The 15,215-nt window shown below is 48.5% G+C and overlaps 1 protein-coding gene across 4 annotated transcripts in view, besides 5 other annotated features; it reads right to left on the reverse strand.

Annotated features, from left to right (window-relative positions):
* The window catches only part of CCDC88C (coiled-coil domain containing 88C), a 146,498-nt gene that overhangs the window by 130,682 nt on the left and 601 nt on the right, over positions 1-15,215 (reverse strand). For all 4 annotated transcript variants that reach the window (NR_189158.1, NR_189159.1, NM_001080414.4 and 1 more), the window contains exons 2-3: positions 14,734-14,834; positions 6,655-6,763 (exon numbers count right to left, since the gene is read on the reverse strand). Coding sequence is in view for 2 of the 4 variants with exons in the window: in NM_001080414.4 (NP_001073883.2) it covers positions 6,655-6,763; positions 14,734-14,834 (210 nt within the window). In the remaining 2 variants the exon portion in view is untranslated. The remainder of the gene's footprint in view (positions 1-6,654; positions 6,764-14,733; positions 14,835-15,215) is intronic.
* Positions 8,203-8,332: an enhancer, noted in NCBI's record as "active region_8916". NCBI's record gives its function as "activates an Ori minimal core promoter by ATAC-STARR-seq in GM12878 lymphoblastoid cells {active_cell/tissue: GM12878}" and the evidence as "EXISTENCE:reporter gene assay evidence [ECO:0000049][PMID:35858748]".
* Positions 8,904-8,983: an enhancer, noted in NCBI's record as "active region_8917". NCBI's record gives its function as "activates an Ori minimal core promoter by ATAC-STARR-seq in GM12878 lymphoblastoid cells {active_cell/tissue: GM12878}" and the evidence as "EXISTENCE:reporter gene assay evidence [ECO:0000049][PMID:35858748]".
* Positions 13,742-13,871: an enhancer, noted in NCBI's record as "active region_8918". NCBI's record gives its function as "activates an Ori minimal core promoter by ATAC-STARR-seq in GM12878 lymphoblastoid cells {active_cell/tissue: GM12878}" and the evidence as "EXISTENCE:reporter gene assay evidence [ECO:0000049][PMID:35858748]".
* Positions 14,262-14,391: an enhancer, noted in NCBI's record as "active region_8919". NCBI's record gives its function as "activates an Ori minimal core promoter by ATAC-STARR-seq in GM12878 lymphoblastoid cells {active_cell/tissue: GM12878}" and the evidence as "EXISTENCE:reporter gene assay evidence [ECO:0000049][PMID:35858748]".
* Positions 14,402-14,691: an enhancer, noted in NCBI's record as "active region_8920". NCBI's record gives its function as "activates an Ori minimal core promoter by ATAC-STARR-seq in GM12878 lymphoblastoid cells {active_cell/tissue: GM12878}" and the evidence as "EXISTENCE:reporter gene assay evidence [ECO:0000049][PMID:35858748]".

Here is a 15,215-nt window from a genome sequence, read left to right on the forward strand (position 1 = left end):
TGGATCATGCCTGTAATCCCAGCACTTTGAGAGGGTGAGGCGGGAGGATTGCTTGAGCCCAGGAGTTTGAGACCAGCCTGGTCAACTTAGCGAGACCTTGCTTCTACTAAAAATAAAAAAAAGTAGCCAGACGTGGTGGCGCACACCTGTGATCCCAGCTACTCAGGAGGCTGAGGTGGGAGAACTGCTTGAGCCTGAGAGGTTGAGACTGCAGTGAGCTATGATCATACCACTGCACTTTGGCCTGGGAAACCGAGCAAGACTGTCTCAAACAGCAACAACAACAACAACAAAAAAACACAAATTAAAAGACTTTCCTTCTTCAAACAAAATGTCCACATTTCTTAAAGATAATCCTAATTTTTAGTAAACAGAGCATGCTTATCTAATACAACTACCACAGAGGCTGACATCTCAGAAACAAGGCTGAGCAGAGGAAGAAGTTACAGGCAGTGTGCTGCCGTTTATGGAAGTCTCGAAGAAAGATCACACAAAGCTGTGTGTGTGTGTACACAAGTGTGTATAGTGTGCACACACGCATATATATACAACACACACACATAAACACAGCAAGCGGATAAAAGTGTTAAGTAGATACCACCCAATTAATGAGAGGTGTTAACCCCAGGAAGGGAGAGGACAACAGGGCTTAGTAGTGGCTGCTGGGAACGTCTATCTCAAGAGAAAATTTTTATTTCTTAAAAAAGGAAAAGGTCTCAAGCAAATATGGAAAAATAGAACCGTATGTTCATATTTATTTTGAACGACAGGTATGTGAGTGTTCGTTATGACCACTTGTACTGTTTTATTTTTAATTCTTCAAAACAATAAAGGAAAAAGAAAAGGGCTGGGAGAAGCTAAGGCACCCGGGCTGTATTTATTCTGCTGTTTCACTTGAGATAAGGAACCTTCTGGCCTTGTGCCCATGCTAGAGGCCAGAAGTCAGAGAGCCGAGCTCAAGGAACCCAGAAAGCTAAACTTCCTTGAGCTGATCGTAAACTCTAAATCTCCTCTAAATCTCGCAGTTTCTGGTCACCATGCAACTGTAGCATTTCAGGCCCACCCCCTTTTGCTTGAAGGAGGGCACTCAGGAGGCTCAGAGAAGGAGAGCAGCCCGCCCAGAGAGACGGCGGGACCCCAGCCTTGCTGCCTCTGCACCTGGCGAGGAGAGGCGCATGAAGAAACAGCAAATTCCTCATTTCAGAGTGAATCCAATGGGTAAGTCCCCACATCCATCCAAGGGTCCCGATCTCACTGGATGAGATATCCACGTGTGGACTCGATGACAAAGACATACGTCTCCAACAACACACAGGGAATGTATCCAGGCCACCATCTGAAGTGCTTCCCGCCATACAAAGCCAAAGAAACCTCAGAAACTTCACATGACAATGAGGCCCTTTCCAGACAAGGCGCCGGACTGAAGGTGTCCAGGGCAGGGAATGGGGATGGGATGCCAGGCACAACCCCAGAGCACAGACAGGCCAGCCACTGCTGCACAGGGCGGACTTCTGCTGGAACAGCCTCACTTTCAGCCTGACTCCACTATCTGCATTTAATGTAAACATTCAAGGCTCTTAATGAAAAAAGTGAACCATTACATAAATCCAAAATTTAATTTTAACAAAAGCCAGGCCAGACGCCGTGAGCCTTACAGGCTCGTGCCTATAAGCCCAGCACTTTGGGTGGCCAAGGCAGGAGGACTGCTTGAGCTCCCAAGTTTGAGACCAGCCTGGCCAACATAGTGAAACCCTGTCTCTACTAAAAATACAAAAAGTAGCCAGGCGTGGTGGTGCCCACTGGTGGTCCCAGCTACTCGGGAGGCTGAGGTAGGAGGATCGCCTGAGCCCAGTGGAGGGGGAGGTTGCAGTGAGCTAAGACTATACCACTGCACTCTAGCCTGGGCGACAGAGAGAGACCCTATCTCAAAAAATTAAATTAAATTTTTAAAATGCCAGATGAAAAGGAGGTTGGCTGTTGAATGAGTAAAACAAGCATCGGAGGACACAGGGTAAACCTGGCCAGCCAGGCTGAGGCAGCGTGGGGCTCTGGCCCAGCCTTGCCTGTCCTCCAGGCTGCTCAGCAGATATCCCATTTGAGGGTGCTGTCCTAAAGCCGGTGTCCCCACATTGGACAGGCCAGCCTTTTCTTCTCCAAAATGCAGAGACTGACCCAGGTGCTCTCTCTCCAAGGCTTTGTCCTACTCTGGCTTTCTCTGCCCCTTCTCAGCTACCCCCTCAACACCCCCTGCTCCCTCTGGTAACCGCATCCTCTCCTTCCCCTCCTCCAGTCTGAGACCCTGCCTTCCTGTCCTGGGGCGGTGAGACGTGAATCTGGTGTATGTGATGGAGAAGGGTCACCTGGTGAGGACTGAGCTCCTTCTACCCAGGAGATTCAGCTCAACGTGACTCTTCTAGAAATCACCAGAAATGTTCTAACCCATTGGTTCCAGTGGTTCCCATGGGCATGTGCGTCAGAATCACCTGGGGGCCTGTTAAAATACAGACTCCCAACTTACATGCAGGCCCAACAATCTGCATCTCTAACAAGCTCCCAGCGCGGCTGCAGATCTGGGGACCATCCTTTGAAGAACCACCACTCTCACCCACTGATTCTCAATCCTGTTGGAATGGTGAGACTCAAGAAGCTGGGAAATTTTTGAAAGTGCAGATTCCTTGGCTGGGCGCGGTGGCTCACGCCTGTAATCCCAGCACTTTGGGAGGCTGAGGCGGGTGGATCATGAAGTCAGGAGATCGAGACCATCCTGGCTAACACGGTGAAAACCCGTCTCTACTAAAAATACAAAAAAAATTAGCCAGGAGTGGTGGCAGGTGCCTGTAGTCCCAGCTACTCGGGAGGCTGAGGCAGGAGAATGGCATGAACCCGGGAGGCAGAGCTTGCAGTGAGCCGAGATCACGCCACTGCACTCCAGGCTGGGCGACAGAGCGAGACTCCATCTCAAAAAAAAAAAAAAGAGAAAAGAAAATGCAGATTCCAGGGCCCCAATCCCAGAAGAGTCCAATGCAGTAAGCCAGGAAGGCGGAGAATCTGCCTTAGACCCCGGTGGTGGGATAGGATCTCAGCCACACTGGTTTCCACCCACTTGCTGACCTATGCCCTGCTCAGGAAAAGGTCAAGGACCCTTTGCCTCCCCAGGTTCTCAGAGGTCAACTTGAGCATCCTAGCGACACGGCCCACGCTCTTTAGGAAAGGCCTGGCCTTCCAGACTGTCACTGCTCCAGTGTGCCGCAGAGAAGAAGGGGACAGTTAGGGGCACAGAGCCATCTCCTGGCAAACAAAACCCAGAGCCAGAATGCGCGACCTTGATGTGTCTACCAAAAAGCCACAGGTGAGAGGGAGGCCCGCCCACGCAGCACCCCAGTCAGAGTAAGGAACAAGGTTTGTCCCACTTCATTCCAAGCCCTCAGGACCTTCGGGGCTACTTTCCCAAGAAGAGGCCGGGCGGCAGCTTTACGGAAATGTTCTGGAATACCCCTTTACTATAATAACCGGTTATGTTTGTGCTATAATGTTAGGTGGGAGGGAAAAAAGGCAGGATACGCAATTGTATATATGGCAACAACCACAATGGCATAAAACAAAAACTATTCACTCAAGAACTGAAAGGAAATACTACAAACGTTAACGGCGATTGTCTCTGGGTGCTGGGCTGATGGGTGGGTCTTTTCTCTTGCTACTTGTCTGTTTTCTAAGCTGTTTACAAAGAGCACGTACAGTATGACCTATATAACAAAAACTTTATTTTGTTATAAATTGGAAGGAAAAAAAACACACAGCAGAACACCGTCCACATGGAATGTGTCAGCCCTGAACACAAGCGTCCTGTCAGCTTCCTTCAAGAGGGCAGGACTGAGACGCAGTGACCACTCCCTGGTCAGCAGCAAGTACTGTCAGCATACACTGACTGACCATTTGCTCTGAGCTGGGCCGAGACTGCCAGCGCACACCAGCCCAGTCCTCCAAGAGCTCCCAGCACAAAAGGAGGGAGAGCAGGGATGCAGGGTCCTCTTTCCATCTGGAAGTCCTTCTGGACCCTGAGGGTGGGCTGGCCATCTTTTACTTTGTGTGGCCACTTCCCATCTTCTGGAACTCTGCACAGTACCCCAAGAACAGCAAACTGCTTCTCAAACCCACACAGTCTCAAGTGAGTGTCAAGTCCATTTTGCCCGGCCCAGAGCTGGATGGACCCTCAGAGTGGCTGGTCACCAACAGCAGAAGTCCTCCTGGACTGGCAGGGCCAGAGGATGGCATTTCTATGGCCAAACAGCTTGCAGCAAGAGCCTCACTGCCCCATGCTACTCACAAAGACCTTCAGAAACCTCACCTCCATTTGAGACCTTCATCAATCCAAGCTCACCCAAGAGCTCACAGTGCAGGAGGAGGGAGGACAGGGATGCAGACACCTGCCCAGTGCTATACCACTGGCTCTGGCCAGCCCTGCCCATTCCCTCCCATGACCCTCCAAACTGGAAACTCAGTTGCCCACTGAAACTCCACTCAGGTATCACCTCCTCCAAGAAGACTTCCCCAACTGCCCGCACGCAGGCTGGGTTAGGGGGTCTTGCCTCTTGAACTTTCAGCACTATGTGCTTCCCCTAGCACTCAGCACAGAGTCCTGAAAGCACTTGCCTGTCACGAATGGCACCTGCAGACAGGGCCCATGCCCTGCGTATCTGCTGAGCAGCCGGCACAGCCACCAGGCCCTCATCACAGATGCCCAGGTCATTGACAGCACCATTGCCTTTACCCCACTGCCCCTGTGCATGGCTGTCGCGAGGGAGACGCCAGCAGAAATGCCCCTGCCTATAGCATACACCATGCTGAGTGTGGCTCCCCTTCAAATCCCCAGAGCCAACTCTCACAGGCTCCCACACCAGCCCTCCAGGCCTCTCCCTGACCCTCGGCCCCCACCTCAGACATCTGGAACTAAAGGGATGGGGCTGGTTCTAAGCTTCCCAGATGCAATGTCCAGAGAGCCCATAGTGCCCCTCTCCCAATGGTCTCTGGACTGAGCACAGATGGCTCACTGAACTGGCCCACACAGGCAAACTACGCCAGCCCCCCCCACCCAACAGGAGGAGGACGGAAACAACCATCTCAGAAAACCCAGGCCATTGTCCACTCCCTCCCTCTCACGTTCAGTTTCAAATTCATGTTGAAACAGAAGCAACCACAGCCCTCAACAGGAACTGGGCCCAGCACAAAGCCCAATGCCACAGCACACATTCTGCCTGGCAGCCCACCCAGCAGTCCCTCAGCAGACCCCAGAACCAGCAACCACTGCACAAGGGCAGAAGGGGAGTCACGGCTGGCCAGACGGCTTCCTCATGTCAACAGAGGCCTCACAACATCCAAAGATGCTCCCGAATCCCAGAACCAAGACTAAGTTACAGCCCAGGAAGCCAAGTGCGAGGCACAGGTCCCAGGCGGAGTCTGGTCACATGTTTAGTGAAACGCTGGCGTGAATCTGGGAGGCAGTTGTTCTTGAGCAGTTCTCAATCTGTGTCCTCTGGAGTCCCGGGAACCCAGACAGATGCCCTGGAGGCCGAGGAGACAGCTGAGCACAGTGCACTGGGCTTCACCTGGGTTCTCGAGAAAAATCATATGGGGGGAACGTTTCACTGCTAAGAAAAGGTTTGAAAACCAGGGCTCCAAGGTACACAGTTTCAGTCCATTTCCATCCGTATTGGCCACACAGAGATCACTAACACCATCAAAGACTCAACTGGCCTTCCCAAGGCTGGGATGGGTTTTGGGTTTAGTTTTGTTTGTTTTTGAGATGGAGTCGTGCTCTGTCACCAGGACAGAGTACAGTGGCATGACCTTGGCTCACTGCAACCTCCACCTCCCAGGTTCAAGCGATTCTCCTGCCTCAGCCTCCTGAGTAGCTGGGACTACAGGCGTGCACCATGCCCAGCTAATTTTTGCATTTTTAGTAGAGGTGGGGTTTCATCGCGTTGGCCAGGATGGTCTTGATCTCTTGACCTCATGATCCACCCGCCTCGGCCTCCCAAAGTGCTGGGATTACAGGTGTGAGCCACCGCGCCCAGCCTGGGATATTAAAGAGCAAATCCCCATCAGGCTGGCTTGACTGTCCCATTGACCACACAGATCAGATGCGGTAAACACTTGAAAGACAGACGCTCCCTAAGCCCAGTGCTCCTGCTTGCAGCTAGAGGTGGGTTAATCACATTCTTGGTCCCATCTTCATAACCCTCCAGTGGTTCCTCCTCTCCCTCAACCCTTGAATGGCTCCTGTATAAAGAGCCACTGAGCCAGGGGCTGCGGATAACCACCTCAGGGTCACCTTCAGGAAGCCCATTCCAGCCAGTCCCCACTCAACTGCATTCTCGGGGCAGAGGCTGCAAACTGAGGCTCCTCTCTGGGACCTTCACAGCATATAGCACGATGCTACACACAGCTCAAAGAACATTCACCAAACAAAGGAAATCAACGCACCATCTCATCCTCACACATGCCCCAACAAAGGGTTCACATGAAAGCAGACCAACTGTCAACAAGTAGAGGCCTAAACATAAGCACCGTTTCCTCCCGGCCTCCTGTGGGAAAACCGTGACAGTGACGATACTGATGGACACACATCAGAATTCCCGACAGCAGAACTGCCCTTACCTGGTAGTAGGTCTTAATGTTTCTCACCAAGATGGTCAAATTCTGAATGCGAAGGTTCACATCATTGTTGACGTGCTTATTGATGCGTTGATTTGTGGGCCTGGGATCTCTAGGGGAAGAAACACGAGAATGGAAATTGCATCTCCCAGCAGCTGCCACACTTCCTTTCCCAGCCACGACCCAGCATCTTGTCCTCCAGTCCCTAGGTGACCATGAGGCTGTGCTGTGGCAGTTGTGGTTCAAGTCAAATCCCAATCCTGCCACTGCTAAGCCAGGACCTCAGGTGGGCCACATCGCCTTTCTGCTCCCTGACCCGAGCACCTGGCCCACCGCAGGCCCTCAGTCAGTGCTGTTTCCATTCCCACCGTTCCTAGCACCCACAAAAACCAACCACATATCAGTGCAGACCCCAAATGTTATACTGTATAAAACCAACCCAGCCAAATATATTTCAAGATTAAAAGAATTAAAAGCTGAACAAAGAAAAATATGTGAAATATCAAGAAAGACAGAAGGAGAAAAATGGTAGTTTTTTTTTTTTTTTAAATAGAGACAGGTCTCACTCTGTCACCCAGTCTGGCATGCAGTGGCACCATCACAGATCACTACAGCCTCGAACTCCTGAGCTCAAGGGATCTTCCTGTCTCAGCCTCCCAGGCAGCTAGGACTACAGGCCCAGCTAATTTTTTTTTAATTTTTTTTATAGAGACAGGGTCTCACTATGTTGCCCAGGCTGGTCTCGAACTCCTCAAGCCATCCTCCTGCCTCAGACCCCCAAAACACTGGGATGACAGGTGTGAGCCACTGTGCCCAGCCTAAAACGGTACATTTCTTTTTTTTTTTTTTTGAGACGGAGTCTTGCTCTTTTGCCCAGACTGGAGGGCAGTGGCACGATCTCAGCTCACTGCAACCTTCACCTCCTGGGTTCCAGCGATTCTCCCACCTCAGCCTCCCAAGTAGCTGGGATTATAGGTGCATGCCACCACGCCCAGCTAATTTTTGTATTTTTAGTAAAGACAGGGTTTCACCATGTTGGCCAGGCTGGTCTCGAACTCTTGACCTCAAGTGACACCCGCCTTGGCCTCCCAAAGTGCCGGGATTACAGGTGTGAGCCACTGTGCCAGGCCAAAATGGTACATTTTCTGACTTAATTCGCCAATAAAATCATAATGTTCCATTAAACACAGGTCTCCCTCTGTCATGCGAATTGGTCTTGGGCTGGTCCTCCCTGTGATTTACAAATTCCAGGGACAAAAATCCTATCTTGAGAAACTGGCATAAACAATCTATGGCACTCTATGGTGTACAATGCACCCTGTAAGAAATGCTAAGAGACACAATTAATTCATGTGGGGAATCCCCGAAGTGTCATTTATTTTCCAACCTCAGGCAAAAGTTGGGTCTGGCTGTGATGAAACTAGAAATCTACATCAAGTGATGTATCATGTCCCTCCCTCATCTATATACAGGACATTTCTCAAAATGCTCAGTGTCAGAAAACGTTCCCCATTAGACAAGAGCACTCAGCATTACTGAGTTCGCTTCCACCCTTCCACAGACTGTGCGCTGCTTTTCATAACAAAGGCCTCCCTTCCATCTGACAGTCCCAAGACACCGCAAAGGATGGCTAATTCAAAGGAGAGCCTGTCTTCACAGTTTCTTCTGTTATCCAGACCCCGTGATGAAGGTGCTGAGCCTCTTGGGGGTTAGTGTGGGGAGTTAAGGAAATCAATCTCAATGCCATCTGGCTCATTCAAAGCCAATAATTAGTAGAAAATTGACAAAGGAAAAAAAAACCCTACAAATCGAAAACGTTTCAAATGTTTCTGGAAGTACAGTGATGGAGTGTGGCCAAGTCATTTACATGTTACATGTTTCTCTTGGAGTCATGCATAACTGAGAAAATAAAGGTTAAGAGTTCTGTGGAAATTAATTCAGGAAAAGAAGAGGCATTCAGAATTTAAACTGCAAAGGCATTTTTAGCTACAGAAGTGTTCCTGGCAGCATAAAGTAATTTATCTTAAAGGTACAATTCCCCTCCCTTTACTGTAGATACCTTAAAAGATGAAAATCAATTTCACAGTGACAAATGCACTTCTTAAAATAGCAGAACTCAGAGAACATGCAGCGCTTTTTCTGTTTTGTTTCTTCTTTCTTTGGTCTTTGTCATTGTAGACCCATCTTTCATTGAAGTCAGACGGGACCACCCCAGGAGTGGCCAGGAGCCGAAAGCCTCAGTATACATCGTGGACATCTCCAGCACGTGCAAAGGCATAGCATACACTCAGGGTCGGGAACCTGGGAGTCCCCTCACATCACAGCATAGAAGCCTCTGACCATCCCTGCTATTGTTCTCCCCAGTTCTTGCAAGAAATAGCTCACTGAAACAACTCTAAAAGAACCCTGACATTTACTGTATGAGTAATTAAGCTACTTACCGTGATTATTACGACTCCCTCCTTTAACTAAGCCTCTCTGGGTAGAGAGCTATCAGGACACTAATCAAAACAAAAGCCTCAACTACAGTTAAGGCAGGCACATCTCAATCTCCACTCTGCCCAGCACCCCCGTAACTCCCACCTTTCCATGCTGTACAAAATGGGAATCAAGAGACATGGGTTCTAGCCCAGGTCCCAAGCCCAGCCAAAGCTCACTGGGCTTCAGTGTTCTCATCTGCAAAATGGCTACAGGATCCTTCCGGCCTTCAAAGTCTATATGGTTCCATGAAGCCTACATCTGCAGTAGCAAACGTGGACTGTACTTGCTTCTGTACCACAGGAAGATGTTATTATAACCGCTAAACAACTGCACTTCCCCAAAAGTTGTCATTCAGAACAACAATCATCTTTATATGATAGTCCTAAAACTTAAAAGGCCAACACTCTAGTATCAGGATCTCAGAGGACACGACATAAATATGGTAGCTGGTCGGAACTTGGAGAGTTCCAAGAGTTCCAAGTCTAAAGTGTGGGCCCCCAGGGATTCCTTTTCATAAAAACTTCCAACTAGAAAAAAAGAAACTGGCCAAGCACGATGGCTCATGCCTGTAACCCCAGCACTTTGGGAGGCCGAGGTGAGAGGATCACTTGAGGTCAGGAGTTCGAGACCAGCCTGGCCAACATGGTGAAACCCTGTCTCCACTAAAAATACAAAAATTAGCCAGACATGGTGGCATGCGCCTGTAATCCTAGCTAATCGGGAGGCTGAGGCAGGAGAATCACCTGAACCTGGGAGGCAGAGGTTGCAATGAGCAGAGATCAAGCCACTACACTCCAGCCTGTGCAACAGAGTGAGACTCCATCTCAAAAAAAAAAAAAAAGGAAGAAGAAAGATAACCAATTCTTGCTAGAATTTTAAAAAGAGTTATAATTTAGGCTTACAGTAACCTTGCCCCCCTCCTTTGGGAAAGCCAGCCCCCAACTTTTGGTCATATTCCAAAAACTTCCTAAATTTAAAGCTAAATCAAGAAACTATGTATTGACACAGAGAGATATCCCTAATTTATCACAGGTTAAAAAACATGCTAAATGTTTTTATATATGTTTAATGTATTTTTATACAAATATGGACCCATGCTAAAAAACAATAGCAAGAGTCCATATTTGTATAAAAATATTAATACATTAAGGACACGTATTAATATATATCATAGATAACATTCGGAAGGCACTAGAATATTGACATTGCTACCTCCACATGGTAAAATCACAGGCAAGTTTTATTTTGCTCATCTGTATATATTCCTATTCTCCTAAGATGAACATAGTTTGTGTATTTTTTTCTTTTTTTTTTTTTGAGATGGAGTCTGGCTCTGTTGCCCAGGCTGGGTGCAGTGGCACAATCTTGGCTCACTGCAAGCTCTGCCTCCCGGGTTCATGCCATTCTCCCGCCTCAGCCTCCTCAGTAGCTGGGACTACAGGCGCCCGCCACCACGCCTGGCTAATTTTTTTGTATTTTTAGTAGAGACGGGGTTTCACTGTGTTAGCCAGGATGGTCTCGATCTCCTGACCTTGTGATCCGCCCACCTCAGCCTCCCAAAGTGCTGGCATTACAGGCGTGAGCCACCGTGCCCAGCCTGTTTGTATAATTTTTAAGGACTCAAAGCCCCCATGTGTCATATACTGCAGCCAAAAGATGGAAATTACTTAAGTTCATAGGTAAAAATTGTTTTTTCCCAAGATTTTTGCGCCAATACAAATTCATTCAACCAACAAGTAAAATTTCCCCTTTTATCCTAAGCTTCTACATCTGCAAAAGGGAAACATAAACTCTCCTTCAAGTGCACTGGGGTAAAAGTTATCCTTCAAATGCTTTTTGGGAGGTAAAGAAACTCTCCTATTTCCCCGAGGATGTTTCTAACCTATGAATAATTAACACAGTATCCTGAATTTTGCAGCTAGCACCAGGGGTCACAAGCAGCCTGAACAAATATGGTTGAACTTAAAGGGCACAAGCTCTCAGCCCTAGTACCAAGTTCCAACTTTAGCCACTGCGTCAAACCGGATGGTTTACTCTCACAAGTAGAGATGTACAGCACTAAGGGCATGGGTACACGTACGTATGTCCACACACAAACTCAGATCTGGGCCTCATCTGCACAATGATAGACATATGTTAGGCTTGTTCTATATACATAGTTTTATTTAAATCTCCCCCAAATTGGTAAAATACCATCCCCTTATTACAGATCAGGAAATCAAGGCTTAGAGAGTTTCAGTCATTTGCCCAACATAATAACACTAGGAAGTGGCAGAGTGGGGATTTGAACTTGTCTGCCTGATGCTAGGGTTAAGGCTCTTAAATAATTTTCCTACAAGAGAATGAAAAACGTGTCCAAAGTTAACCAGAGCAAACTTTGTTTTCTCTTGGGTGCTGGTAGGTACCCAAGACACTGTGTTGACAGAGGGGCTATTGAGCAGGCATTCCCAGGCCTCTCCATCCAGGCCACTCAAAGCCTCAGTTTCATTCATGAATTCTCCTAGCCCTGGGCCTCCCCAGAAAGCTGAACCTGTGGGGCTTCCCTGCTTCCAGGTGCTGATGTCACCAGGAGACCAGGGCCGAGAGACTACTAACAGCCTTCTCCGGTTGCCGGAGACAATGGCCAGGTGCAGTCACGTGACCCCCAGCCAACCTCCACAAGGCTCCCAGGTGTTAGGTAACAGCCTCTTATCTGAGCTCTGTTAGCAGTACTGCTCAACGCGATTTCTTCAGGTCCTACAAACTTGGGGTGAAGGAATCAAAACAGGCAAATAGCACAGTCTAGGAGCTACTGGTATGGGAGATGAGGCAGAACAGCCTTACCCCTTACCTGCTGGCTAGTGACATGTTGCCATTTGGTAGAAGTGAAAACAGAGGCTTAAGTGCAGTACAGTCTAAATGCGGGGCTAGGACTTGGGTCCCAGGGTCCAATGTTGCCCTAGACCTCATTGGTAGAGGGCTAAGGGCTGAGAACTGTGGGGTAATCCAAGGATCGAAGAATGTGGGGGAAAAGGTAGGCCACACAAAAAAAGAACTTTTAGTTGGTGCCTCAAATCCTTTCTGGATTAAGATGGCACCTACATAGGCAAATAGCTAAATGTTAACACAAGGTTTCATTCTGTCCTCACAACCATCTCTTAAGGAAGGTACTTTACGTCCCATTTTACAGATGAGGAAACTAAGGCACTGAGCGACATGCCCAGTGTCACACTGCTGGTAAAAGGGAGGCCAAGGGTTTGAATCCCAGCTGGCTATGTAGGCTGTCCGATACAGGCCAGGGTTCATTGTTTAGTTGAGGTAATTTTACATAGCATGAAATGCATAAAGTTATAATTTGAGGAGTTTTGGAAAATGAAACATACTCCAGCCACTCTGCAGGACATTTCAACTACCCTGAAAAGGTTCCCCCGGGTCCTTTCCAGTCAATCCTCACCACTTCCAGACACAAAAACACTATTCTGACTTCTATCACCTGGAACTGGGTGATTCTGATGACCCATGCAGGAAACCATGCCCACCCGCTCTCTCTTCTCTTTCCTCATTCTGGAAAGCCAGCCATTCAGCCTCCCCACGCTCCATTCCTCTGTGCCCAACTCATCCTGAGGGACCCAGAAGCACTTCTTGAAGTCTTAAGAGCTACAATTTACCAGTTCCCACTTCTGGAATGATTACCTTGGCATATCACAGAGAGAACATCTAAAATTGCCCAGGGAAGGGGAGAAACCCTCCCACCCCACACCACCCCGGCCGAATTTAGCCATGGGCCAAATGAGAACAAGTGATGAGCTGGCGTTTCTCAAAGGAACGGTCCAACAGGCTTTCCTGATTTACAAGCAAGTGGGAAACGCTTCAGGAATTCCAAAGGTCAGGGAAGAAAGAGAAACAGTCCCAGTGCTTTTGTTCCCCCCTCTGCCTGGGTGTAGGAGCTGAATGAAAAGGCTGGGGATACTGCTGGTTTTTTTAATTAAACAGTCTTGGGCTTGGGTAAGGACAGGTTGAAGTTTCACCGGTCATTGCGCCAATGGAATCCAGTAATTTTCAGGGTCTAACAGAATGAGGGGAGAGTGGCCAGAACTCGAATATGCCACGAGACAGCTTCCGGAAAACTCAGTTTCAACAAAGTTATCTAAGAAGTGCTGTCAAAGCTGGCAACAGATTTATGTTTTTCAATCTAATCAGACACTGAAGACTGGTAAGATTGGTAGTGACTTTTTTTCCTACACCCACAGCTGTGAACTTTAAAAAAAAAAAAGCAAAAACCATTAAACAGCATGACATCAAATGACTTATTAAAATAAAAGGAGGCCGGGCACCACAGTGGCTCATGCCTGTAATCCCAGCACTTTGGGAGGCCAAGGCAGGCGGATCACCTGAGGTCGGGAGTTCGAGACCAGCCTAACATGGAGAAACCCCATTTCTACTAAAAATACAAAATTAGCCGGGCGTGGTGGCGCATGCCTGCAATCCCAGCTACTCGGGAGGCTGAGGTAGGATAATCGCTTGAACCCGGGAGGCGGAGGTTGTGGTGAGCTGAGATCACGCCATTGCACTCCAGCCTGGGCAACAAGAGCGAAACTCCGTCTCCAAAAAAAAAAAAAGCAAGGTTCTTGAATTATTTTTTTCTAAACAGGCTGTTTAAGGCAATCTATATAAGCCACTTTCTGGATATGCCAAAGCAAACTGCTCCTCTGCCTTTGTGAGCCACAAACGAAGCTGATCTCTCATTAGCTAATAGATTTATGCTCCAGTATGACAACTTGCTCAGTCGTAGGTGAATAGGTGCGCACACGAGGCTGATCCACAGAGAACATTAGGATGTTTTATTTTGCTTCAAGTGCCTGTGAATCATCCCGACACTCAGTTCCAATGTTCCCTGCAGTTTGAGTTAAAAACAGAATGCAAAGGTAGAAGCCAACACCTACGTTGTGGCAAGCTGTCAATCAGGCCGTGCAGAGCTCAGCAACAGGAAAGGATGTGGTCAGATGTACTCGCTGGCAAGAGTAACTTCTACTAAGACCCTGTTCAGGCTGCATGCTTCCAAACAAACAGCACCATGGGACCCTCCTAACACTGTGACTTTAAACTCAGTCCATACAGTAGGACTTAATGAATTGCACTTGCTTTGGGGCAACTGAAAAAGGAAGATGAAATGTAAAGGAGCTCAGAAACACAGACACCCTCATCTAAAATGAAACTTTACAGTAACCCTCGGATGCCTGGGCCCACCCCGACACTTCCTGTAACCAGACACTCTCCGTTACAGTTCCTTGCCCTCCAAAAGGGGACTTTTTCATTTCATTGCTCAAACCACAATTAAGTCCTTGAGTCTGAAGTCAATTGCACTATCTACACCACGTAAATGACAGTCATTCAATTCCAAATTTCCTTCATCAAACCAACTGCCAGACCCACTGTCCTGGAGTTCTTCAAACACCTACGAATGTCCAACAGGCACGTTAATACTGAGATACCAGCGTCTCCACCTTCAGAGAACTACCCCCCACCCCACACACACCCCGCCATGCAACCTTCCACTCCATTTCTACTCTCAAACTTTCTAACGCACCATTCTTTCCTTCCTCCGAGAAGAAGGTAACTTACATTTGCAGCATAATTTGGTTCAAAAAGATGCCGTCCACTAAATCCATGTACATAGTCAGGTTGTCCTGGCTGCCGCTTCCAAACGGGCCAAAAGTTTTCACCTGCGGGGAGGGGGACGAGGAGAGAAAGACAGGAAGTCACCCCGTGCGCACAAACGGTCCAAAGCTCTCCCAGGCAGAGACTGGACGGGTCAGTGTGAGCAGAAGGGGGTCACCCACGCCCACACCACCCTTCAGCAGGCACCAAGCCCGGCCTTCTCCTAGGGCCTGTCTCCCCTCCCCGCGCGGGGCAACAGACACGAGACAGGAGGAAAAACTTCCTCGCCACTTTTCTCCCGCGTTCCAGAGCGGAAGAAATAAAAATAAAAAGGACTTTTCAATAAATGTCTCACGTCTCAAATCCATTGTAAATCAGTGCGCCCACCCCAGTCTGTTCGCTTTCCCATTCGGCGCCCCCCATTCCCCACCCGTCACCGCCATCCA

The sequence above is a fragment of the Homo sapiens genome, chromosome 14 (genome assembly GCF_000001405.40).
Source record: "Homo sapiens chromosome 14, GRCh38.p14 Primary Assembly".
Lineage (NCBI taxonomy): Eukaryota > Metazoa > Chordata > Mammalia > Primates > Hominidae > Homo > Homo sapiens.